The 23,645-nt window shown below is 52.9% G+C and overlaps 2 protein-coding genes and 1 long non-coding RNA gene across 3 annotated transcripts, besides 7 other annotated features; 1 reads left to right on the top strand and 2 right to left on the bottom strand.

The window, feature by feature from the left end:
- Positions 1,407 to 2,240, bottom strand: LOC102725254 (uncharacterized). Its single transcript, NR_134910.1, has 2 exons — positions 2,071 to 2,240; positions 1,407 to 1,514 (listed from the first exon to the last, which is right to left on the bottom strand). It is a non-coding gene; the product is annotated as an uncharacterized LOC102725254 (long non-coding RNA).
- Positions 1,577 to 1,636: a silencer, noted in NCBI's record as "silent region_10379". NCBI's record gives its function as "represses an Ori minimal core promoter by ATAC-STARR-seq in GM12878 lymphoblastoid cells {active_cell/tissue: GM12878}" and the evidence as "EXISTENCE:reporter gene assay evidence [ECO:0000049][PMID:35858748]".
- Positions 2,292 to 2,391: an enhancer, noted in NCBI's record as "active region_14306". NCBI's record gives its function as "activates an Ori minimal core promoter by ATAC-STARR-seq in GM12878 lymphoblastoid cells {active_cell/tissue: GM12878}" and the evidence as "EXISTENCE:reporter gene assay evidence [ECO:0000049][PMID:35858748]".
- Positions 2,522 to 2,911: a silencer, noted in NCBI's record as "silent region_10378". NCBI's record gives its function as "represses an Ori minimal core promoter by ATAC-STARR-seq in GM12878 lymphoblastoid cells {active_cell/tissue: GM12878}" and the evidence as "EXISTENCE:reporter gene assay evidence [ECO:0000049][PMID:35858748]".
- Positions 2,577 to 2,871: an enhancer, noted in NCBI's record as "tiled region #13953; HepG2 Activating DNase unmatched - State 1:Tss, and K562 Activating DNase unmatched - State 4:PromP". NCBI's record gives its function as "activates a minimal TATA promoter and a strong SV40 promoter by Sharpr-MPRA in HepG2 and K562 cells {active_cell/tissue: HepG2 | K562}" and the evidence as "EXISTENCE:reporter gene assay evidence [ECO:0000049][PMID:27701403]".
- Positions 2,904 to 3,686: an enhancer, noted in NCBI's record as "H3K27ac-H3K4me1 hESC enhancer chr19:18314094-18314876 (GRCh37/hg19 assembly coordinates)". NCBI's record gives its function as "activates a minimal SCP1, AML or CMV promoter by ChIP-STARR-seq in primed H9 embryonic stem cells {active_cell/tissue: H9 hESC(primed)}" and the evidence as "EXISTENCE:reporter gene assay evidence [ECO:0000049][PMID:30033119]".
- Positions 2,928 to 10,186, top strand: RAB3A (RAB3A, member RAS oncogene family). The gene is made up of 5 exons (NM_002866.5): positions 2,928 to 3,074; positions 4,230 to 4,457; positions 6,525 to 6,643; positions 8,121 to 8,245; positions 9,310 to 10,186. Exons 2-5 carry the CDS (start codon positions 4,230 to 4,232, stop codon positions 9,498 to 9,500), a joined length of 663 nt encoding a protein of 220 aa, NP_002857.1. The 5' UTR covers positions 2,928 to 3,074; the 3' UTR covers positions 9,501 to 10,186.
- Positions 10,022 to 13,752, bottom strand: MPV17L2 (MPV17 mitochondrial inner membrane protein like 2). The gene is made up of 5 exons (NM_032683.3): positions 13,502 to 13,752; positions 12,936 to 13,106; positions 12,117 to 12,193; positions 11,884 to 12,012; positions 10,022 to 10,971 (listed from the first exon to the last, which is right to left on the bottom strand). The coding sequence occupies exons 1-5, from the start codon at positions 13,686 to 13,688 to the stop codon at positions 10,915 to 10,917; spliced, it is 621 nt and encodes a 206-aa protein (NP_116072.2). The 5' UTR covers positions 13,689 to 13,752; the 3' UTR covers positions 10,022 to 10,914.
- Positions 13,608 to 13,657: an enhancer, noted in NCBI's record as "active region_14305". NCBI's record gives its function as "activates an Ori minimal core promoter by ATAC-STARR-seq in GM12878 lymphoblastoid cells {active_cell/tissue: GM12878}" and the evidence as "EXISTENCE:reporter gene assay evidence [ECO:0000049][PMID:35858748]".
- Positions 14,048 to 14,227: a silencer, noted in NCBI's record as "silent region_10377". NCBI's record gives its function as "represses an Ori minimal core promoter by ATAC-STARR-seq in GM12878 lymphoblastoid cells {active_cell/tissue: GM12878}" and the evidence as "EXISTENCE:reporter gene assay evidence [ECO:0000049][PMID:35858748]".

The raw sequence follows: 23,645 nt of genomic DNA, 5'->3' as shown, positions 1-23,645 counted from the left end.
TCTTGGCTCACTGCAACCTCTGCCTCCCGGGTTCAAGCGATTCTCCTGCCTCAGCCTCCCAAGTAGCAGGGATTACAGGCGACCGCCACCATGCCCGGCTAATATTTAGTAGAAATGGGGTTTCACCATGTTGACCACGCTGGTCTTGAACTTCTGACCTCAGGTGATCCACCCACCTCGGCCTCCCAAAGTGCTGGGATTACAGGCATGAGCCACCACACCTGGCCCCCACACTGGGTTTTAAGTTAGTGTCTTCTTCCCCGAGAAGTCGTCCCTGGACCCGTATCTGGGATACTTTTTTTTTTTTTTCTTGAGACAGAGTCTCCCTCTAGCACCTAGGCTGGCGTGCAGTGGTGCCGGTGATCTCAGCTCACTGCAACCTCCGCCTCCCTGGTTCATGCGATTCTCATGCCTGGGCCTCCTGAGCAGCCTCCTGGGACAGGCACCACCACACCGGGCTAATTTTTGTATTTTTAGCAGAGATGGGGTTTCACCATGTTGGCCAGGCTGGTCTCGAACTCCTGACCTCAAGGTCAAGGAGTGATCCTCCTGACTCGGCCTCCCAAAGTGCTGGTATTACAGGCATAAACCACCGCACCTGGCCACATTTTTATTTTTATTTGTCTAGTGTAGACGATAGGGTAGGGATGCAGGGAAGCCTCTGGACTTTCCTCTGAGTGGGACCGGCCTGGAAGCCTAGCCCGTTCTCCCACCAGCTCTGTCTCCCCTGACACAAAGAAAATACCCCAATCCCGCAGCCCCTCCCCCAGCTCAACCATTTCTAATTCCAGAGCCCAATGCTGCTCTGGACAATCAAGGGCTTGCATTCTTTTTAAATTTAAATTAAGTAATTAATTTTTTGAGACAGCGTCTCACTCTGTCGTCCAGGCTGGAGTGTAGTGGCGCGATACGGTTTCCTACAGCCTCGACCTCCTGAGCTCAAGTGATCCTCCTACTTCAGCCTCGGGAGTATTTGGGTCCACAAGCACGCGACACCACATCCAGCTAATTTTTAAATTTTTTGTAGAGATGGGGCCTCCCTATGTTACTCAGGCTGGTTTCCAATTCCTGGGCTCAAGCGATCCTCCCGCCTTGGTCTCCCAAAGTGGTGGGATTACAGGCGTAAGCCTCCGCACCCGGCTATTTTTACTTTAAAATACTAAGTCAGTGACGGAAGCTTCCGCACATTCTCGTGGCTCACTTTTCTCTTCCTGGGGAAAAAAGGCAGGAGGTATTTCCGAGAGAGCCACCCATGTAGGAAGCGTGCCTTTGGGCGATCAGGGAGCTGAGCAACCGAAAAACCTCCCCTCCAAGGAGGCGGCAGGCCAGGGCCTGGACCAGCTGCCCTGGAGCCCCCCACAGAGCACGGACTACCGCGTGGGCGCGGAGGGCAGGGAGAATGGGAGGTGGATTTCTTTTTATTTTTTGTTTTTCTGAATTTTCCCAATTTCTCTGCAGTGGATTGGTGATACTTCTATAGTCCGAGTGGGGGAGGAGGGAGCAAACATGTTACCCTAAAAAGAAAAAATAAATTTCCCAAATGTAAACGGTGCGGGGACGTGGGGGTGGGCGTCCCAGTACTCCCAGGGCACTGGGGGCGGGCTGGGGACTGGGTTGGCGGCGGCTGGGCCTCGAGGCGCTAAGTTATTCTGGTCTCTCGGCGCCTCCGCAGCTGGCGAGCTTTTTATAAACAGGACGAGTCACCCCCCGCCACACACACACGCTCCAGCCCCGCCTACTGGGAGGGGTGGGGGGAGAATCTAGGGGATCAGGACTCTCCTGGGGGCCACACACCCCTGGAGGGTTTGAAAGCTGGAGTAGGGGGAGCAGGAGACCCAAAGTGGGGGCTGGGGTTTCGGGCTCCTCCTCCCTCCCCAAATTCTGACTTCCTTCCCTAAAGATTTGGAGGAATAAAAGATGGACCATCTTAGCTCCCAAAAGGCTCCATCCTCTGAGTTTTGCTTTCCCAGGATGGAGGGAGGGGGTCTCCCAGCCCCCGGGTCTTTGAATCCGAGCTTTGAAGAGCTGGAGGCTTCGGCTCGTGCCCTCCCTGTTTCCCGGGGCATTTACCGCAGGCTTTAAGGGGTTTCCGGGACAGGTCGCTTCTCTGTCCCTGCTAAACCTTTTCTTCGAATTTTCTTCTTGATGACGGGGCGCAGGGAGGGGAGGGGGTTCCCAGAGAGTCCATCAGCCCCTTCCTCCTTTTCTGGGAATGGTGGGGAGGGGAGGCTCTCTTGACCTCTACTTCTTTCTTTTCAAACCTCAGAAACGGGGGAGGGGTGGAGTCTTTACTAGCCCCTCCCTCAGTGGGGGGGTCTTACGCCTCGGGAATGGGACAGGGGTCCCTCTTGACTCCTGTTTATTCTTTGGTATTTATTTTGAACCCCATATATGTGAGGGTATAAAACATCTCTTGGGCCTCGATTTTTCTTTTCTGCAATTGGGAGTCAGGGGCATTTAACAGGGGTCACAGCACCTTGGACTAGACGGTGGCCTCAAGAGTCCCCTACCTGGGGTGGGTGCGGGCGGGTAAGGGAACCGCCCCTCGAAGACCGGGGCTCAGCCAAGGCCTCAGCCTCTCGGCCCTTCAATCTCCCAGATGCCACCATTGGACAAGAGGAGGGCGTAGACAATCTCTGATTGGCTACTTCGCCCGTCGCTCGAGAGCTTAAGCCAGTGAGAGAACGCTGAGGGGCCCCGCCTCCCCGAGGCGGACAGGAGGCGGACGAGAGGCGGAGTCGGCCCCCGCGCCGCTCCCGCCCCTACTGGATGCACACGCTAGGCCCCGCCCCATTTGCACGTCAATCTGCTCAGGAGCCCTGCCCCATCTGGCTCTGCGTGCGTCAATGGGCCACATCTCTACGCGCGGCTCCGCCTCCGGATGGCGTCACGGACTTATCTACATGTGAGGCTCCGCCCCTCCCTTTGCAGGACGTCACGGAGGACTGCAGGGGCCTGAGCCGCTGCTGCCGCCGCCGCCGCGCAGCCCCACATCAACGCACCGGGGTCCTGTCACCGCCACCGCCAAAAAAGTCACCGCCGCTAGGGTCGCCGTTGCATCGGTGCAGGGCAAGGTGAGCTCCTGGGCGGCCGGGTGTGCTCAGGCTCCGAGCACCTGCATAACCTTCATTTGACTGATGGGCTGATGGAGGTGGGGGACGAGGTTGACTAGGGTTGAATGGGGGGAAGGATGCGGCGGTCGCGAGGCTGGGAATGGGTAGGGCCCGGGCGCCCCACTCCTGCCTGATCCTCACCACTAACCCCCCCAACCCCCCTGCTCTGCGGCGGAGGGGGAGGGGAGCCGAGCTCCTTGCGGGAAGCTGTGCGCGCGGGAGGCTTTTGCGTGCGCGTGCGCGTGGTGTGCACACGCGTGTGCGCGCCTGCCTGTGTCAGCGGGTCTGTGTGCACCCTTGCTTGTGTACCTGGATATGCTCGTGTGACGCCGTGGGGGTCTGGGCCTAAGTGTGTGAGCGTTGCACGCGCGTGGAGAAAGACGTGTGGACCGCCTGTGCAGGTATGGCCCGTGCATACAAGCACGGGGATCCGTGTCCGTGTGGGTGATGTGCACACGCCTGCATGGGTGGAGGGGCCTGTGCGCACGGGTGGTTTGCACATTTCTATAGGCGAGTCGGTGTGCAAACAGGTGTCTGTGTCTTTGTCCTGTGCACCTCAGTGCGTTCACACACTCCTGTATGTACGGATGAGCGTGTTTGAGGCTGTGTGCACGTGAGCGTGTGCATGCCCCTCCTGTATCATGTGATGCAGCGGCCTTGGCCGGAGCTCTCCGGCCTGGAGGTTTGCGGGGAGCGGGGGCTGCAGATGCGCGTCCTCGAGGGACCATGCACGCGGTGCACGTGGGGCCGCGCGGCCGGGTTCTGAGGACCATGAAAGATTGATGGGGGGCGGAGCCAGCCGCAGTCACCCCCTCCGGGCTCAGCCCTGGGTTTAGGGTTACAGCCCCACCTGGGGCACCTGCCCCTTGAAGGGGGCTGCTGGGGTGTCCCCATCGGCAACCCTCTGAGCCCCTCCTCTGAAACGCCCAGGATTTCAAGGTCACAGGCTGCCCTCTGCTGGGGGCACCACCAATTAATACTGGGGCTCCTGATGGGATAAGGGTGTCCTCCATACACCGGCCGTTTTCTGGAGCCCTTGCCATCTTCTGCCTGGGCTTGGGCACATGAGGATGGAGAGAGCCCCCCTCACGGCTCTGCTACACCCGGTATCCCCAGATGGCATCCGCCACAGACTCGCGCTATGGGCAGAAGGAGTCCTCGGATCAGAACTTCGACTACATGTTCAAGATTCTCATCATCGGCAACAGCAGCGTGGGCAAGACGTCCTTCCTCTTCCGCTATGCTGACGACTCGTTCACGCCTGCCTTCGTCAGCACCGTGGGCATCGACTTCAAGGTCAAGACCATCTATCGCAACGACAAGAGGATCAAGCTGCAGATCTGGGTGGGTCCCAGCTGGAGGGCTCCCGCCCGGCTCGGTTGGATTCCCGTACTTGGAAAAGCAGCCCCAACCTCGTCTATCTCTTTCCTGACTGGAGTCATTCACTTACACACTGGGCATTTATCAGTAAGGTGCCCACTGTGTACCGGGGCAGAAACAGCACCTGTGTTCTCCCATAAGCACCTAATCCTGGTCCCTCAGTTTCCCCATCTTCAAGTTCTTCCATGTATGAGGTTTCAGCTGGATCTTGGTCCCCATTCTCTTTTTTTGTTTGTTTTTTGAGACAGGGTGGTCTTGCTCTGTCCCCTAGGCTGGAATGCAGTTACGTGATCACGGCTCTCTGCAGCCTCGACTTCCCAGGCTCAAACCATTCTTCCACCTGAGCCTCCTGAGTAGCTAGGACCACGGGCTTCTACCACCACGCCTGCTGATTTTTTTCTTTTTTGTAGAGACAGGGTCGGGCTATGTCTGCCCAGGCTGGTCTTGAACTCCTGGGCTCAAGCGATCCTCCCACCTCAGCCTCTCAAAGTGCTAAGATTACAGGCATGAGCCACCCCACCTGGCCTTGTTAGTTTTAAGAGACAGAGTCTCACTCTGTTGCCCAGGCTGGATTTGAACTCGTGGGCTCAAGCAATCCTCCCGCCTCAGCTTCCCAAGTAGCTGGGAGTACAGGCAAGTGTCAGCTTCCTTTAATTTTTAAACCTACAGTTAAATTCTCTCCATCTTCATCTGGCTTGATTTTTCTCCTTGGTCCTTGTCACTCTCCAATATAGGATACATTTATACCGTTATTTTCTATTTCCCACACTGAGTGTCACTTAGCAAGGGAAGTGCCCATCTTGTTAACAACTGTGTCCCCAGTGTCCAGTTCAGGGTGTGGAAAAGATCAGTGCCCAGTCCATGTTTGTTTATTTGTTTGTTTGTTTTTTGAGACAGAGTTTTTGCTCTGTCACCCAGGCTGGAGTGCAGTAGTGCAATCTTGGCTCACTGAAACCTCTGCCTCCCGGGTTCAAGCGATTCTCCTGCCTCAGCCTCCTGAGTAGCTGGGATTACAGGGGCTCACCACCAAGCCCAGCTAATTTTTTTTTGTATTTTTAGTAGAGATAGGGTTTCGCCATGTTGGCCAGGCTAGTCTTGAACTCCTGACCACAAGTGATCCACCTGTCTTGGCCTCCCAAGGTGCTGGGATTACAAGCATGAGCCACCACGCCTGGCCTCTGTTTTCTTTCTTTCTTTCTTTCTTTCTTTCTTTTTTTTTTTTTTTTTGTTGTTATTGTTTTGAGACGGAGTCTCGCTCTTGTCACCCAGGGTGGAGTGCAATGGCGCGATCTCGGCTCACTGCAACCTCTGTCTCCTGAGTTCAAGCGATTCTCCTGCCTCAGCCTCCTGAGTAGCTGGGATTACAGGTGCATGCCACCACGCCGAGCTAATTTTTGTATTTTTAGTAGAGACAGAGTTTCACCATGTTGGCCAGGCTGGTCTCGAACTCCTGACCTCAGGTGATCCACCTGCCTTGGCCTCCCAAAGTGCTGGGATTACAGGCGTGAGCCACCACCACACCCGACCCCCTGTTTGTTTTTTGAGACAGGGTTTCACTCTGTCACCCAGGCTGAACTGCAGTGGCGCGATCTCACCTCACTGCAACCTCTGCCTCCTGGGCTCAAGCAACCCTCTCACCTGAGCCTCCTGAGTAGTTGGGACTACAGGTGTGAGCCACCACACCCTGTTAATTTTTGTACTTTTTGTAGAGATGGGGTCTTGCTATGTTGCTCAGGCTGGTCTGGAACTCCTGGGTTCAAGCCACCTGCCCACCTCAGCCTCCCATAGTGCTGGGATTACAGGTGTGAGCCACAGCACCTGGCACAGTACGTTTGGTGAATGACTCTGTGGAATAATGGAGCACTCATATATTCTGAGCACTGGTGACCCAACCTGCTCTTCCTGACACTTTGTGCCCCTGGGCAAGCTCCTGCTTCTCCCAGGGGGCTGAACTGGATGATATCAGAGCTCATTTCCTCTTCGAGGGCCTTATGTGCAGGTCCTCTCTGACCTTCATCTCTTCCTCCCTAGGACACAGCAGGGCAAGAGCGGTACCGGACCATCACCACCGCATACTACCGGGGCGCTATGGGCTTCATCCTCATGTATGACATCACCAACGAGGAATCCTTCAATGCAGTGCAGGACTGGTGAGTGTACCCCACTTGCTCTTTTTTTTTCTTTTCTTTTCTTTGAGAGAGGGTTTTATTCTGTCACCCAGGCTGGAGTGCAGTGGCACGATCAGGGCTCACTGCAGCCTCGACCTCCTGGGCTCAAGTGATCCTCCTGCCTCAGCCTCCCAAGTAGCTGGGACTACAGGCATATACCACCACACCTGGCTAATTTTTTTGTATTTTTAGTTGAGATGGGGTTTCCTCATGTTGCCCAGGCTGGTCTTGAACTCCTTGGCTCAAGTGATCTGCCCACCTTGGCCTCCCAAAGTGCTGGGATTACAGGCGTGAGCCATCGCTTCTGGCCTTCCACACTCATTCTGGGGCCATTGTCTCTGAGCCAAACTTTCTTCAAAAAATAATAAATAAAACGTAGGGGTCAGAGAAGGATTTCAGATGGAAAAGTAAAACTATAACCATATAGAAACAAATATCTGCAAGTGTAGGGTGGAGAATATAGAGACTATAAGGAGAGTTGGCATGGCCGGGCACGGTGGCTCACACCTATAATCCCAGCACTTTGGGAGGCTGAGGCAGGTGGATCACCTGAGGTCGGGAGTTCGAGACCAGCCTGACCAAGATGGAGAAACCCCATCTCTACTAAGAATGCAAAAATTAGCCAGACGTGGTGGCGCACACCTGTAATCCCAGCTACTTGGGAGCCTGAGGCAGGAGAATCGCTCGAACCCGGGAGGTGGAGGTTGCAGTGAGCCAAGATTGCCATTGCACTCCAGCCTGGGCAACAAGAGCAAAACTCTGTCTCAAAAAAAAAAGGAGAGTTGGCATAGGTTAGAGATTGTAAACATTTCAATTTTCTGCTCAGAAGTAATAACTTTAAAAAAAAATTTCTGGGTTGGGCACAGTGGCTCATGCCTATAATCCCAGCACCTTGGGAGGCCGAGGTGGGTAGATCTTGAGCTCAGGAGTTCGAGTCCATCGTGGCCAACATAGTGAAACCCTGTCTCTACTAAAAGCACAAAAAATTACCAGGCATGGTGGCTCATGCCTATAGTCCCAGCTACTTAGGAGGCTGAGGCAGGAGAATCACTTCAACCTGGGAGGCGGAGATTGCAGTGAGCCTAGATCGCGCCACTGCACTCCAGCCTGGGCGACAGAGCAAGACTCTATCTCAAAAAAAGAAAATTTCTGGGCTGGGTGGCTCATGCCTGTAATTCCAGTACTTTGAGAAGCGAAGGCAGGCAGATACTCCAGCCTGGGCAACAGACCCAGACTCTATCTCAAAAAAAACCCCAAAACACAGAAACAATAATGGGTCAGTCGGGGGCTGGAGTGGGGTGAAAGCGGGGCACATTGGGGGAAAGGATGGTGGGGAGGATGGAGGGGCAAGCTTCTGGGTCTTTCTTCCTCGGACAAGGACACAGGCTCCACATCAGCCCGTCAGGGTGGAGCTGGGATCCTCCAAGCCCTGACCTGCCCCCATTGGTGCCTCCTATAGGTCCACCCAGATCAAGACCTACTCATGGGACAATGCCCAGGTGCTGCTGGTAGGAAACAAGTGTGACATGGAGGATGAGCGGGTGGTGTCATCAGAACGTGGCCGGCAGCTAGCTGACCACCTTGGTGAGTGCCCAGCTGGGCTGGAGACCCACAAGTCTAGAAAAAGGACACTAAGAGAGGGGAGGGCACACACCCAAGGTCTTACAGCTAAAGCCAGGTAATTCACACTTTCTGCAAACTAGCCTTCATCCAGGAGCCATTTGAGTTGGATCCTGAGGGATGTGTAGGAGTTTGCCATGCAGAAAGTTTAAGGATTTATTCTGACACTCACCGTCCAACGCTTTGTTGGGTGTTGCTGGGCTCAAGAGGCATCTAGGGGTGCCTCGAGGGACCCCTGAGGTAGAGGGAGGGACCTGGATGGGAGGAGCACATGAGAGGAGCCAGGCTTCCTGGAGTGGTGGGTAGTGAAGAAGGGTCTTTCAGGCAGAGGAAATAGCTTGGGCAAAGGCTTGCAGTGAGAAAGGTCCTGTGTGTTTTGGTAATAATTTCACAAGACTGGAACATGAGGGTCAGCTGGAGGAAATGTGGCCGATCACAGAGGGCCTCAACCATGTGCTGAGAGGCTGGGACTCTTTGGAGGGCAATAGGGAGTCACAGAGGGTGTGTGAGCAGGGGGAGGTCACAGCTGGATTTGAGTGTCAGAGCCTTCCAGGGCCAGTGCACGGGGCTGGGCTGGACGCTGCAGGGCATGTCTTGCCAGGTCCCTAAGGACAACGAGACACAATTTTAGGAAGGAAGGGCAGGAGGCCAGGTGCGCTGGCTCACACCTATAATCCCAGCAATTTGAGAGGTGGGGGTGGAGGATCACTTGAGCCCAGGAGGTCGAGACTGCAGTGAGCTATGATCACGCCACCATACTCCATCCTGGGCAGCAGAGCAAGGCCCTGTCTCAAAAAAAAAAAAAAAAAAAAAAAGCAGGAAATGCAAAGCTGACCCAGTTCCATGTTGCTTCTCTGTGGGATTTGTCAGTACCTTCAATAAGTTTCTTCTCTGTGGGATTTGTCAGTACCTTCAATAAGTTGCTTGGCACTGGGAATCTCCAGGTGTTCCCTTTCCTCAGAGAAGCATCTCTGGGAGTTGGCATAGGGCGTGGCCAGGGTCCTCATCCCTGCCTTCTCTGACCACAGGGTTCGAGTTCTTTGAGGCAAGCGCCAAGGACAACATTAACGTCAAGCAGACCTTTGAGCGCCTGGTGGATGTCATCTGCGAGAAGATGTCCGAGTCGTTGGACACGGCGGACCCTGCGGTCACAGGCGCCAAGCAGGGCCCACAGCTCAGTGACCAGCAGGTGCCACCGCACCAGGACTGCGCCTGCTGAGAGCCATCCCACTCCCTTTCCCCTCTTCCCTGTCTTCCCCACCTTCCCCCAACTACCCGGGCCTGACCCGGCCCCTACCAGCCACGGGCACAAGACCCCTGCTCCTGACTTAGCCCGTCACCCTTATTTATTATTGTAGCTATTTATTTATTTATTGAAGATGTCCCCCAGGGGCCCAGGCTCCCCTGCCCGCCCCAAGCCCTGCCCCTCCTGTACATATAGCCCTTTCCCCACTCAGCTGTGGTGTCTCGTGGCCCCGTGAACTCACCGCTCACCCTCCTGAACCCCCCCCCCCCGCCTTTTTTTAAAATTCACCCCCATCCACAGTTGTCAGTTGTGAAGAGGGGCCAGATGACACCCTAAAGCAGGCTGATCGGGCAATGGGAGGTGGCCAGGCCTGCCAGCCCCTCGGCTCTGCCGCGGTGGGCCGAGGCCGCTGTTGGGGGTTTCCCTGTGTGGACCATGGGGATCAGAGTCTGGCCTGCCAGGCTCCTCTCCCCGTTTTCTCTTTTGGTGGGGGGGTGTGCTGTGGGTATTCACCACCCTGGGACCCCCCCCCCCCCCGCCCACCAGACCTGTTCTGACCTCATGAGTGTCAAACGTGCCCCCCAGTTCCTTAGGAGATGTCATGACAACACTACACGCACCCAATAAAGCGAATGGACCATCCATGTGTGTCCCTGTGAGCACCGGGTCCTGCCCACCCTGGTTTTGATCATCCACAGCATTTTCTTTTGTTATTTTTATTTTTCAATATAAATAGAGACAGGGTCTTGCTATGTTGCCCAGGCTGGTCTCGAACACCTGGCCTCGAGCAATCCTTCCACCTCAGCCTCGGGAAGGGCTGAGATTACAGGTGGGAGCCACTGCGCCCAGCCAGCAGTTTCAGTTACATTATAGAGAGAGTTTAATGGCATTTCCACAGTTCAGGACCAGGGAAAGAAACACAGAGGCTGCCTGGCCCTATGTGAAACTTTTGGGGGCCGACTCCAGGCCTGAGCCTGCTCTGAGGGGATCAGTCATGTCCCCGCCTTAGTCCCAGGACCTGAGGGAGCTCTGGATTGGTGGCTTGGCCCAGAGCCAGGTGGATGGCAGTGTTGAGGGGCTGGTGCTTGAGACTGGTTGGCAGAGTGGGCCCTGTGCTGAGGATGGGACATCTTGGTCACAGGTCGCATGAGGTTCCTGCTGAGAAGGGCTAGGGGATGATCATCCATCTTCATGGGTGTGTTCCGGTTGAGGAAACTCAGTCCCAGAAGTGAGCTTGGAAAGGGCGGCTCAGCCCAATGCTCCGGAGCTGAAGTGGTGCTGGGACGTGGCTCAAGACCCGAGCTTGCTGCAGGAGCCCATTCCCCTTCTGTCAGAGGGGGTGGTCCGCCAGGAGACAGTCTTGCATCTGGTCCAGGAAGCAGACAGTTCAGTCTGCTCGGGTGTCCAGGGCCACACAGCCTGGGGGTGTCAGAGGAACTGGGCTCTGTCCACACAAGACAAGGCATCTGGTCAGAAGCCTGGCTCATCCCTCCCTGTCCCTCTACCTGCCCTTGGGCCAGAGGTCAGCCCTGCTCAACAGACTTGGCAGGGACCGGGCTGAGGTCACATCAGACAGCAGAGAAGGGTTGGGTCTTTTTGTTTGTTTGAGACGGAGTCTCGAACTGTCGCCCAGGCTGGAGTGCAGTGGCGCGATCTCGGCTCACTGCAAGCTTCGCTGCCCGGGTTCAGGCCATTCTCCGGTCTCAGCTTCCGGAGTAGCTGAGACTACAGGCGCCCGCCACCACGCCCGGCTAATTTTTTTTTTGTATTTTTAGTAGAGACAGGGTTTCACCATGTTAGCCAGGACGGTCTCGATCTCCTGACCTCGTGATCCGCCTGCCTCGGCCTCCCAAAGTGCTGGGATTACAGGCGTGAGCCACCGCGCCCGGCATGGGTCTTTTTTTTTTGAAACGGAGTCTCGCTCTGTCACCTAGGCTGGAGTGCAGTGGCATGATCTTGGCTCACTGCAGCCTCTGCCTCCTGGGTTCAAGCAATTCTCCTGCCTCAGCCTCTCAAGTAACTGGAATTACAGGTGCGTACCAGTAATTTTTTGTATTTTTAGTAGAGAAGGGGTTTCACCATATTGCCCAGTCTGCTCTCTAACTCCAATTTCAGGCGATCCACCCGCTTCGGCCTCCCAAAGTGCTGGGATTACAGGCATGAGCCACGGCGCTCAGCCACGGCTGGGTCTTAACTGCTAGTGAGGAGCTCTCCGCCAGCCCACTGTTGGGTGTGGGTTGTCAGGAGCACAGGAGACTCCCACCCTCCAGGGTGGCTGGCTACACTGCCACTTGGAGCTCACACGTGTAGCCCCCTGGGGAGTCCCCTGGGTGCCTGGTATGCCCTCCACACTCACCCGGTACTTCAAGTAGGACAGGTACGTGTCCCAGCCCAGCGTCAGGCCGTTGATGTAGGTGACTCGAAATTGGGGGGGCACGAAGAGGAAGTTCACGAACTGCGCAGCAGGCCACACGCACCAGTCTGCCTGCGGGGAGAGGCGGGGGATGAGGGGCGGGGCCAGAGCTGGGCGGGGGCGGAGCGGCCATCAGGGGGCGGGGCCGGACATGTGCAAGGGGCGGGTGCTCCCACCTTGTAGAATTCCCAGAACTTCTCCCGCAGCTCCTGGCAGCTCTCACCCACTGTCTGACCCTCCAGGCAGCCAAGGCCTGGGAAGCAAACCAAGAAATGAGAGTGTTAGAGGCCAGGAAGTACTGTTGAGACGACAAGATGGGCTGACGATGGAGGGGGCGGGGTTGGGCCCCTGAGAGCCCACGCCGCCCACCCCGGGCAGAGGGACAGGGACTTTCAGATGGGATGGACAGAGAATTAGGGTAGCTGGTGTAGAGACAAAACAGAGCAAGTCAGTCCCAGTGAGAGAAAGAGAGGTTATAAACATATAAACACGTGCCCCAATGGAGACACCCTGAAGTTGAGGGAGTTGTGTTACTTTTCCATCACAGACCAGGAAGCCGGGCTGGGAGGTGGAGAATGAGAGACTCCTCTATTAATACCGCTGTCTTTACCGAGCCTAGGGCTGGCACGGTTGCACCCCATTAAGTCTAGCCTCAATTTCTCTTCCTTCAGGCCTCAGAGCCTTTGCATTAGCTGTTCCCTCTGCCCGCTGGTTCCCTCTTCATGTCTCAACTGAGTGTGGTCCCCTTCTTTGGGAAATGCTCTCAACCTCCCGCCCAGGGCAGCCCCAACAGATACAGTCCTCGTCCCTCCTACACTCGCCAGCGTTCACATCGGCCGAGTCCGTCCTGTCCCCGCTGTGACCTGGCTCCTAGTCCAGGGCGACCCAAACAGGGGGCAAATTGGAAATGCACCTCTGCATCCTTCTTAACACAAAGCTGGCTCCACCCCTCCCGACCTATGAGAGGCAAAGCCTAGGCTTAGGAGGCTCCTTACCCAAGAAGTACCAGACGCCCAGCAATGGAGAGGCTACCAGCTGATCCACGAGGACCTTCTTGAGGACATTTGGGAAGCCTCGGAGGCCAGACGCAGGGAATAGGCGGTCCAGCGACAAGTACCAGTAGTGCAGGAAGGGACCCATGCTGCAGCCCACCGCAAACATGCTCGCTATAAGAGTGTAAGTCAGGGGGCTGGGTCGGGCCGGCAAGTTCCTCAGTCCATTCCCTCTCTCCCTCCCTGGCTAAGGCCTGGGTAAGCCCAATGCCATCCCGGAGCCTCAGCCTCACCGGGAAAACCGGAAGAGCCCACCCGTGCATTCTTCCACTACAAGCCCCACCAGGAGGCGCGGCTCCAGAGGCTCCTGGGTAGTGGGCAGAGACCTCCGGGGGTTGGGAGGTGATGGAGACCCAGAGCTGCGGGGAGACAGACACCCGGGGAGAGGCGCGGTCAGGGCAAGGGTCCTGCGGGGGACTGAGGCCACGGGTCAGGGGTCACGGCCCGCAGTCGGGTGTCGGGATCAAAGGTCGCCCGGGGTGAAGGACTAAGCAGCGTGGCGTCCTCACCGGAGCGCCGTGGGTCGAAAACCTGGCCGGGCCGGGCGCGGATCTCCCAGGACTGGCGCACGCCATCACCGGCCGCCATGAGCGCGCCGCAGCCCAGCGTGTTAGTGACGAGCAGCGCGCGGCCCTGGAATAGAAGCTGCCCCGCGGATAACAGGCGGCGTAGCCGGCGCCAGCCACCCCGCGCCATCGCCCTCAGGAACCAAGGAACCGGCGCGCCGCTCTGCTTTCGCCGCGCCGACCAGTCGCGAGTCACTGTCGATCCCAAATTGCCCGCCCCTCCGGCTCCCCGGCCAATCGCATAAGGATCTTCAGTCCGCAGGTCCGCCCCGAGCCGCGACGCGTTCACCAATCGCAGGCAGCCTCGGGGAGCCACATTGCCCGGCCCGAAGAGTATTGACCAATAAAAGGCAGGCGTTCTATCCCAAGGTCGAGCCCCCAACGACCTCCCGAGCTTCACGGACCAATCGGAAAAAAGAATTGCGTTACGTCCCGCATGCCGATTGGTAACGTTGCACTCTTGTTTCCCCGCCCCTTTCTGTGCCAGCCTATGGGAAACCGTCGCAGCCCCGTCCTACCGACACGCCCAGGACGGCACTGGCCAGTCGCAGACCGGCGTCACGCTGGCAAATCAGTGACCGTCGTCCCGCCTCCCGCGTTAGGGTTGGTCAATCTTAGGCAGTTACAACGCCTTCTGGCCTGGTTGCCCTACGTATTTCCAGATTCTCCTGGACTTAACCAGAAGGGATGTGATCTGTGGCCAGAAACAATTATATCCTAATTATACCGTTCCCGTAGGGAACAATTATTTTTTTTCTTTTTTTGAAATGGAGTCTCGCTCTGTCACCCAGGCTGGAGTGCGGTGGCGCGATCTCGGCTCACCGCAACCTCTCCCTCCCGGGTTCAAGCGATTCTCGTGTCGCAGCCTCCCAAACAGCTGGGATTACAGGCACGGGCCACCACGCCCAACTAATTTTGTATTTTTGGTCTAGACAGGGGTTTTGCCATGTTAGCCAGGCTGGTCTCGAACTCCTGACCTCAAGAGATCCACCCGCCTTGGCCTCCCAAGGTGCTGGGATGATGATAGGCGTGAACCACCGTAACTGGCTTAAAAAATGATTTTCAATGGAAATCCCTATGCATTCTCTACTAGAGTCGCAAACTACTGCCTGTGGGCTGTTAACTGTTGAAGGTGTGCAGGTTCTTGGCATCTTGAACAAAGAATTGGACAAAGTGCACAAACAAAGCAAGGAAAGAATGAAGCTTAACAAAAGCAGAGATTTATTGAAAACGAAAGTACACTCCGCAGGGTGGGAGCCAGTGGAGCATACGGACTCAAGAGACCTGTTTAAGAATTTTCTGGGGTTTAAATGCCCTCTAGAGGTTTTCACTGGTTACTTAATGTACGTCCTATGTAAATGAAGAGGATGAAGTAAAGTTACAAAGTCATTTACTGGATGTATGCCCTCTTTAAATGGAGAAGATATTTCCTGTCATAGCTGAATTGTTTCCATTTGATTTGGCCTTATGTTCCCTGCCTCCAGACCTATTCTCCTGCCTCAGGGCCAAATCCTGTCCCTGCCTGTTTTGTGCTGCTCATGATGAGCTAAAGGTGTTTCTTACATTTTTTAAATGGTCAGTCAAGAAGGTGGGGATTGGCCAGGCGCAGTGGCTCACGCCTGTAATCCCAAACAGTTTGGGAGGCGGAGGCAGCTGGATCACCTGAGGTCAGGAATTCAAAACCAGCCTGGCCAACATGGTAAAACCCCATCTCTATTAAAAATACAGAAATTAGCCAGGGGCGTGGTGGTGGGCGCCTGTAATCCCAGCCACTCGGGAGGCTGAGGCAGGGTAATCTCTTGAACCCGAGAGGTGGAGGTTGCAGTGAACCGAGATAGCTCCAGTCTGGGCCACAGAGCGAGACTGTCTCAAAAAAAAAAAAAAAAAAAAAAAAAAAAGGCTGTGCCTAGGGCCGTGGTCACTCACGTTTGGCTCAGAATTAACCTCTTTAAATATTTTACGGAGTTTCTTTTTTTTTTTTGAGAGAGTCTCGCTCTGTGGCCCAGGCTAGAGTGCAGTGGCGCGATCTTGGCTCACTGCAAGCTCCACCTCCCGGGTTCACGCCATTTTCCCGCCTCAGCCTGGCGAGTAGCTGGGACTACAGGTTCCCGCCACCAAACCCGGCTAATTTTTTATATTTTTAGTAGAGACAGGGTTTCACCGTGTTAGCCAGGATGGTCTCGATCTCCTGACCTCATGATCCGCCCGCCTCGGCCTCCCAAAGTGCTGGGATTACAGGCGTGAGCCACCGCGCCCGGCCCATATTTTACAGAGTTTCACTCTTTTTGTCAACAAATGGCATGATTGTGTTTCAATAAAGTTTTACTTATGGACACAAATTTGCATTTCATATAATTTTCAGGTCATAGAATAAGCCAAACGTCATTGAAACACAATCATGCCATTTGTTGGCCTGTAAAAAGTAAAACTGAAATATGGCTTTTTTTTTTTTTTGAGACGGAGTCTTACTCTGTTGCCCAGGCTGGAGTGCAGTGGCACAATATCAGCTCACAGCAACATTTGCCTTCCAGGTTCAAGCGATTCTCCTGCCTCAGCCTCATGAGTAGCTGGGATTACAGGCACCCGCCGCCATGCCTAGCTATTTTTTGTAGTTTTGTAGAGACGGGGTTTCACCATGTTACTCAGGCTGGTCTTGAACCCCTGATCTCAAATCCACCTGCCTCGGCCTCCCAAAGTGCTGGGATTACAAGAGTGAGCCACCATGCCCAGCCTACAATATGGGTTTTTACAACAAAAATTTGCCCAGTCAGAGGACACCCTTCATGGTTTTCTGATTTTTTTTTTGAGATAGAGCCTTCTTCCTTCCTTCCCCCAATTTAAAACTTTTATTTAAAGAAAGGTTTTGTTTTTTTTTCCTCTTTAGTAGAGACAGGGTCTCACTATGTTGCCCAGGCTAGCCTTGAACTGTACTGAAGCAATCCGCCCACTTTTGCATCCAAAAGTGCTGGAATTACAGGCATGAGTTACTGAGAATAGATAAAATGACATGTCCCCCTGGGCAATAGGAGAACAGTGAGTTTCGTAAAGTGGGACAAATAAACAGAACAATACAAAAAAAACCTGATCAATGCCGGGCGAGGTGGCTCAGGCCTGTAATCCCAGTACTTAGGGAGGCCAAGGCGTCCGAATCATGAGGCCAAGTGATTGAGACCAATCTGGTCAACACGGTGAAACACCGTTTCTACTAAAAATACAAAAATGAGCTGGGCACGGTGGCACACGCCTGTAGTCCCAGCTACTCAAGAGGCTGAGGCAGGAGAATCGCTTGAACCCGGGAGGTGGAGGTTGCAGTGAGCCGAGATCTCACCACTGCACTCCGGCCTGGCAACAGGGCGAGACTCCGTCTCAAAAAACAAACAAACAAACAAACAAACAAACAAACAAACCACTGGGTGTGGTGGCCCCCACCTGTGATTCCAGCTACTCCGGAGGGTGAGGCAGGGGAGTCGCTTGAACCCTGGAGGCAGAGGCTGCAGTGAGCCGAGATTGCGCCACCGCACTCCAGCCTGGGTGACAGAGCCAGACTGTCTCAAAAAAAAAAAAAAAGAAAAAGAAAGTGGGAGTTGAACAATGAGAACACATGGACACAGGGAGGGGAACATCACATTCCGGGACCTGTCAGAGGGTGGGATAGGGGAGGGATAGCATTAGGAGAAATAACTTCTTTTTTTTTTTTTTTTTTTTGAGACGGAGTCTCGCTCTGTCATCCAGGCTGGAGTGCAGTGGCGCGATCTCGGCTGGCTGCAAGCTCCGCCTCCCGGGTTCACGCCATTCTCCTGCCTCAGCCTCTCCGAGTAACTGGGACTACAGGCGCCCGCCACCACGCCCGTCTAATTTTTTGTATTTTTAGTAGAGACGGGGTTTCACCTTGGTCTCGATCTCCTGACCTCGTGATCAGCCCGCCTCGGCCTCCCAAAGTGCTGGGATTACAAGCGTGAGCCACCGCACCCGGCCAGCATTAGGAGAAATACCTAATGTAGATGACCGGTTGATGGGTGCAGCAAACCACCATGGCACGTGTATACATACCTATGTAACAAACCTGCACCTTCTGCACGTTCTGCACATGGATCCCAGAACTTAAAGTATAATAATAGTAAAAAAGAATTCAATGTAGATGTATGGATTTGGTTCTGGGTTCTCCATTCTGTTCCATTTATGTATGTGTCTATTTTTGTGCTGGTACTATGCTGTTTTTGTTACTGTAGATCTATAGTATAATTGAATGTTGGGTAATGGGATTCCTCCAGTTTTGTTCTGTTTGCTCAGGATAGTTTTGGCTATTCAAGGTCTTTTGTGATTTCATATAAATTTAGGACTGTTTTTTAGAACTGTTCTTTCTGTTTTGTGTGAAGAATGTCATTGGTATTGTATTTTGATGGAAATTGCATTGAATCTGTAGGTTGCTTTGTGTAGTATGGACATTTTGACAATATGGATTTTTCCAATCCATAACTACAGAATATCTTAAAAAATAATAATAATAATAAGGCCGGTGCGGTGGCTCACGCCTGTAATCCCAGCACTTTGGGAGGCCGAGGTGGGCGGATCATGAGGTCAGGAGATCGAGACCACAGTGAAACCCCGTCTCTACTAAAAATACAAAAAATTAGACGGGTGTGGTGGCGGGCGCCCGTAGTCCCAGTTACTCAGAGAGGCTGAGGCAGGAGAATGGCGTGAACCCGGGGAGGTGGAGGTTGCAGTGAGCCAAGATCGTGCCACTTGCACTCCAGCCTGGCGACAGAGCTAGACTCTATCTCAAAAAAAAAAAAAAAAAAAAAGAAAGAAAGAAAGAAAGAAAAAGAAAAACCTGATTAACTTCAGGTTACTTTTTTTGGTAAGTGTTAAAGCAGAGGGGACTTCCTTATCGGGCTAATTCAGGTAGACTAAAATCTTTTTTTTTTGAGACAGAGTCTCGCTCTGTCGCCCAGGCTGGAGTGCAGTGGCGCGATCTCGGCTCGCTGCAAGCTCCGCCTCCCGGGCTCACGCCATTCTCCTGCCTCAGCCTCCCCAGTAGCTGGGACCACAGGCACCAGCCACCACGCCTGGCTAATTTTTTGTATTTTTAGTAGAGAGGGGGTTTCACCATGTTAGCCAGGATGGTCTCGATCTCCTGACCTTGTGATCCGCCCACCTCGGCCTCCCAAAGTGCTGGGATTACAGGCATGAGCCACCGTGCCCGGCCCAGGTAGACTAAAATCTATTTTTAGGAAAGACAGCTGGGCACAGTGGACCATGCCTATAATACCAGCACCTTGGGAGGCTGAGGCAGGAGGATCGCTTGAGGCCAGGAGTTCAAGACCAGCCTGGGCAACTTGGCCAGAACCTCATCTCTACAAAACAAATTTAAAAAAAAAAAAAATAAGAAACTGATCTGTTTGGGATATGTCTGCTTCCTCAAAGTTTCAGTTTGATTATGTGGCATTTAGCACGAGTGACTCCATTCTGGTTTCATCTGGTCTGTTGGTGCCTAGTGCAGGAGCTCAGTCCAAAACAGTGGTCTCCCATAGTTTTGTTTGACATTGAGCTGACCATTTGGTAATCTACAAATGGATTACTGGTTGCTGAGAGACAATGGTGGATAAATTAAGAATTTATTGGCCAGGCACGGTGGCTCATGCCTGTAATCCGAGCACTTTGGGAGGCTGGGGCGGGTGGATCACTTGAGGTCAGGAGTTCAAGGCCAGTCAGGCCAACATGGCAAAACCCCATCTCTACTAAAAATACAAAAATTAGCTAGGTGTGGTGGTGCATGTCTGTAATCTGAGCTACTTGGAGGCTGAGGCAGGAGAATCGCTTGAACCTGGGAGGCGGAGTTTGCAGTGAGCTGAGATCATGCCATTGCACTCCAGCCTGGGCGACAGAGCGAGATTTTGTCTCAAAAAAAAAAAAAAAAATTGTTGCTTGGCCGGGCTCGGTGGCTTATGCCTGTAATCCTACCATTTGGGACCTGGATGCAGGAGGATCGCTTGAGGTCAGGAGTTGGAGTTGCCCAGATGCCTGGGCAACATGGTAAGACCAGGTAACATGGTAAGACCGGATAACAAAATTATCCGGGTACGGTAGTGCACACCTGTAGTCCCAGCTACTTGAGAGGCTGACGTGGGAGGATCGCTTGAGTCCCAGAGGCTGAGTCTTCAGCTGGCTGAGATGGTGACACTACACTCTGGCCTGGATGACACAGCGAGACCCTGCCTCAAAAAGTAAAATAAAAAATAAAATTAAGAGAATTTATGGGGCTGGGTGCGGTGGGTCATGGCTGTAATTCCATCACTTTGGGAGGCCGAGGCAGGCGGATCACCTGATGTCGGGAGTTCAAGACCAGCCTGGCCAACATAGTGAAACCCCGTCTCTACTAAAAATACAAAAATCAGCCAGGCATGATGGCGGGTGCCTGTAATCCCAGCTACATGGGAGGCTGAGGCGGGAGAATCACTTGAACCCGGGAGGCAAAGGTTGCAGTGAGCCGAGATCTTGTCATTGCACTCCAGCCTGGGCGACAGAGCCAGGCTCTGTCTCAAAAACAGAAAAACAAAAGATACTTTATTGCTTCCCAGGAAGAGCAGCTTTTGATACCTGGCAGTAATTTTTGTATGTTTCTGTTGATAGTGTTCAGGACATGTCACCCATAACATACCAGCATACAACTTTGGCATATTGATATTGAGAATTTTGAGTTAAACACACTTGCAAACAGTGGATGCAAGAAGGGCTCTTCTTTTTATTTTTTTGAGAGGGAGTCTCACTCTGTTGCCCAGTCTGGAGTGCAGTGGCATGATCTTGGCTCACTGCAACCTCCACCTCCCGGGTTCAAGTGATTCTCTTATCTCAGCCTTCCAAGTATCTGGGATTACAGGCATGTACCACCATGGCCGGCTAATTTTTGTATGTCTAGTAGAGACGGGGTTTTGCCATGTTGGTCTGGCTGGTCTTGATCCCCTGACCTCAGTTATCTGCCCATCTCAGCCTCCCAAAATTCTAGGATTACAGGCACGAACCACCGCAGCCAGCCCAGAAGGGCTCTGTGATCTATCTTTTTATTTTTTCTTTATTTTTGAGAAGGAGTCTCACTCTGTTGCCCAGGCTGGAGTGCAGTGGCGCGATCTCAGCTCACTGCAACCTCCGCCACCCAGGTTCAAGTGATTCTCCTGCCTCAGCCTCCCAAGTAGCTAGGATTATGGGCGCCCGCCACCACGCCTGGCTAATTTTTGTATTTTTACTAGAGACGGGTTTTATCATGTTGGCCAGGCTGGTCTTGAACTCCTGACCTCAGGTGATCCCCCAGCCTCTGCCTCACAAAGTACTGGGATTACAGGCATGAGCTACCGTGCCCGGCCAAAATTTTTAAAAAATTAGCCAGGTGTGGTGGTGTGCAACTCTAGTCCCAACTACTTGGGAGGCTGAGACAGGAGGATTGCTTGGGCCTGAGAGGTCAAGGCTTCAGTGAGCTGTGATCCCGCTACTGCACTCCAGTCTGGATGACACAGCAAGACCCTGTCTCAAAACAAACACTTAGGTCTAGTTACTTTTTTCGGTCTCCATTTTTCTCGTGAGGGCTCCCATCTACAATGAATAAGCTTTGTGTGCTATTGTTTTGTTAATCTGTCTGTCAGTCTGAGCCAGACACCAGAGAGAGGAGGAAAGCTCTAGCCCTGCTAGTTTCTGGTGATGAGGATGGGCTACAATTGGCTGGGAATATCTGCTCCCTCTGGGGTCTGCAGGGGAGAAATGCTGGGACCTGACAAGCCAATGCAAAGTAAGAATTCAGCCGGACGCGGTGGCTCATGCCTGTAATCCCAGCTTTTTGAGAGGCTGAGGTGGGTGGATTACTTGAGGTCAGGAGATCAAGACCAGTCTGGCCAACACGGTGAAACCCCATCTCTACCAAAAAATAGCAAAATTAGCTGAGTGTGGTGGTGTGTGCCTGTAGTCCCAGTTACTCGGGAGTCTGAGGCAGGAGAATCACTGAAACCTGGGAAGCTGGGGTTTCAGTGAGCTGAGATAGCACCACTGAATTCCAGCCTGGGCAACAGAGTGAGACTTTGTCTCAGAAAAAAAAAAAAAAAAAAAAAAAGGCTGGCACGGTGACTCACACCAGTAATCCCAGCACTTTGGGAGGCCGAGGTGGGTGGATCACCTGAGGTCAGGAGTTCAAGACCAGCCTGGCCAACATGGTGAAACCCCGTCTCTACTAAAAATACAAAAAAATTATCCAGGCGTAGTGGCAGGCACCTGTAATCCCAGCTAATCGGGAGGCTGAGGCAGAAGAACCGCTTGAACCCGGGAAATGGAGGTTGCAGTGAGCCGAGAAAGTACCACTGCACTCCAGCCTGGGCAACAGAGCCAGACTCCGTCTCAAAAAAAAAAAAGAAAAGGACGAATTCTTATCAGGCTGGGATTATGGCTCACACCTGTGATCCCAGCACTTTGGGAGGCTGAAGCAGGAGGATCACTTGAGCTCAGGAGTTTGAGACCAGCCTGGGGAACATAGCAAGACCCCATCTCCACAAAAATTTAAAAAATTAGCTCGGATAGGTGGTGCATGCCTGTAGTCCCAGCTACTCAGAAGTTTGAGGCAAAGGGGATTCTAGAGCCCAGGATTTGGAGACTGCAGTGAGCTGTGATCACATCACTGCATTCCAGGCTGGGCAACAGAGCAAGACTCTTTCAGGGAAAAAAAAAAAGGTGCTGTATAACACCACCAGGTCACCCTTGGATACTTTCCTAGAAGAAGCCAAGAGCCCTCCTGGGCTAAGCCCAAAATTTGGGGCTCCCCTGCAATGGATCAGAACTGTGTTCTCAGAGGGCAATTTGGAAACCAACTGGCAAGTGAAAAATTTTAACAGTCTTTACAAATGTTAGCACAAAGCTTTCATGATCTGAGTAGGTAATCTTAACTCATTTCATCTGCCTCTGCAGATGCAAATTGGATCTCACTTATTTATTTATTTATATTTTTTGAGATTGAGTCTGGCTCTGTCACCCAGACTGGAGTGCAGAGGCACGATCTCAGCTCACTGCAACCTCTGTCTCCTGGGTTCAAGTGATTCTCCTGCCTCAGCCTCCCGAGTAGCTGGGACTACAGGCATGTGCCACCACACCTGGCCAATTTTGTATTTTTGGTAGCGACAGGGTTTCTCCATGTTGGTCAGGCTGGTCTTGAACTCCCAACCTGAGGTGATCAGCCCACTTCGGCCTCCCAAAGTACTGGGATTATGGGCGTGAGTCACTGCGCCTGGCTAATTTTTGTATTTTTAGTAGAGATGGGGCTTCTCCATGTTGCCCAGGCTGGTCTTGAACTCCCTGGCCTCAAATGATCTGCCTGCCTCGGCCTCTCAAAGTGCTAGGATTACAGGCGTGAGCCACTGTGCCCGGCTCCACCATTTTTTTAAAAACTAGTGAGTTTTGTATTATCACACCTGTCTCACAGCTATAATTTTAAAATGAAAGCTATAAGATTTCTGACTGCACCTATTTATGTTTATATATATATATGTTATAGGTATGTAACACTTTCTCCCTCTTGATGGAATTCCTAAAGATTAACTTGTAAAGGAGCTCTATTTCATTGACTTTAGAAAACCACATTTGCTTATGTAAATTAAGACTAGTCAAACAGGCTTATGTTATCTTTAGATGTTGAAGATTATAAAAGTGTAAACTGTAAAACTATAAAATAAACCTAAGAACAATACATGCAATAAAAGTGAATTGCTTGGCCAGGTGGTGGCTCAGATCTGTCATCCATCCCAGCACTTTGGGAGGCTGATGGAGGTAGGTCATTTGAAGCCAGGAGTTCAAGAACAGCCTGGGCAACATGGCAAAACCCCATCTCTGCAAAAAAAAAAAAAAAAAATACAAAAATTTACCACGCATGCTGGCTCGTGGCTCGCACCTGTTGTCCCAGCTATTCGGGAGGCTGAGCAGGGAGGATCGCCTGAGCCCTGGAAATGGAGGTTGCAGTGAGCTGTGATCACATTACTGCACTCCAGCCTGGGTGACAGAACAAGACCCTGTCTCAAAAAATAAATAAAAAAATTTTTACGAAGTGAATTGAGGGTGGGCA

This window comes from Homo sapiens, chromosome 19 (assembly GCF_000001405.40).
Source record: "Homo sapiens chromosome 19, GRCh38.p14 Primary Assembly".
In the NCBI taxonomy this organism is placed as follows: Eukaryota; Metazoa; Chordata; class Mammalia; order Primates; family Hominidae; genus Homo; species Homo sapiens.
The sequence above is the reverse complement of the archived record's forward strand: the minus strand, read 5'-3'. Positions and strand labels throughout refer to the sequence as shown.

Bases quoted from the DNA above. Each gene is read 5' to 3' on its own strand.
- RAB3A (NM_002866.5), top strand. From the start codon at position 4,230: ATGGCATCCGCCACAGACTCGCGCTATGGGCAGAAGGAGTCCTCGGAT. The intron at 4,458-6,524 runs GTGGGTCCCAGC...CTTCCTCCCTAG, and splicing joins GGATCAAGCTGCAGATCTGG to GACACAGCAGGGCAAGAGCG. The intron at 8,246-9,309 runs GTGAGTGCCCAG...CTCTGACCACAG, and splicing joins GCAGCTAGCTGACCACCTTG to GGTTCGAGTTCTTTGAGGCA.
- MPV17L2 (NM_032683.3), bottom strand. From the start codon at position 13,688: ATGGCGCGGGGTGGCTGGCGCCGGCTACGCCGCCTGTTATCCGCGGGG. The intron at 13,107-13,501 runs GTGAGGACGCCA...ACACTCTTATAG, and splicing joins TTTCGACCCACGGCGCTCCG to CGAGCATGTTTGCGGTGGGC. The intron at 10,972-11,883 runs GTGAGTGTGGAG...TTGTGTGGACAG, and splicing joins TGTCCTACTTGAAGTACCGG to AGCCCAGTTCCTCTGACACC.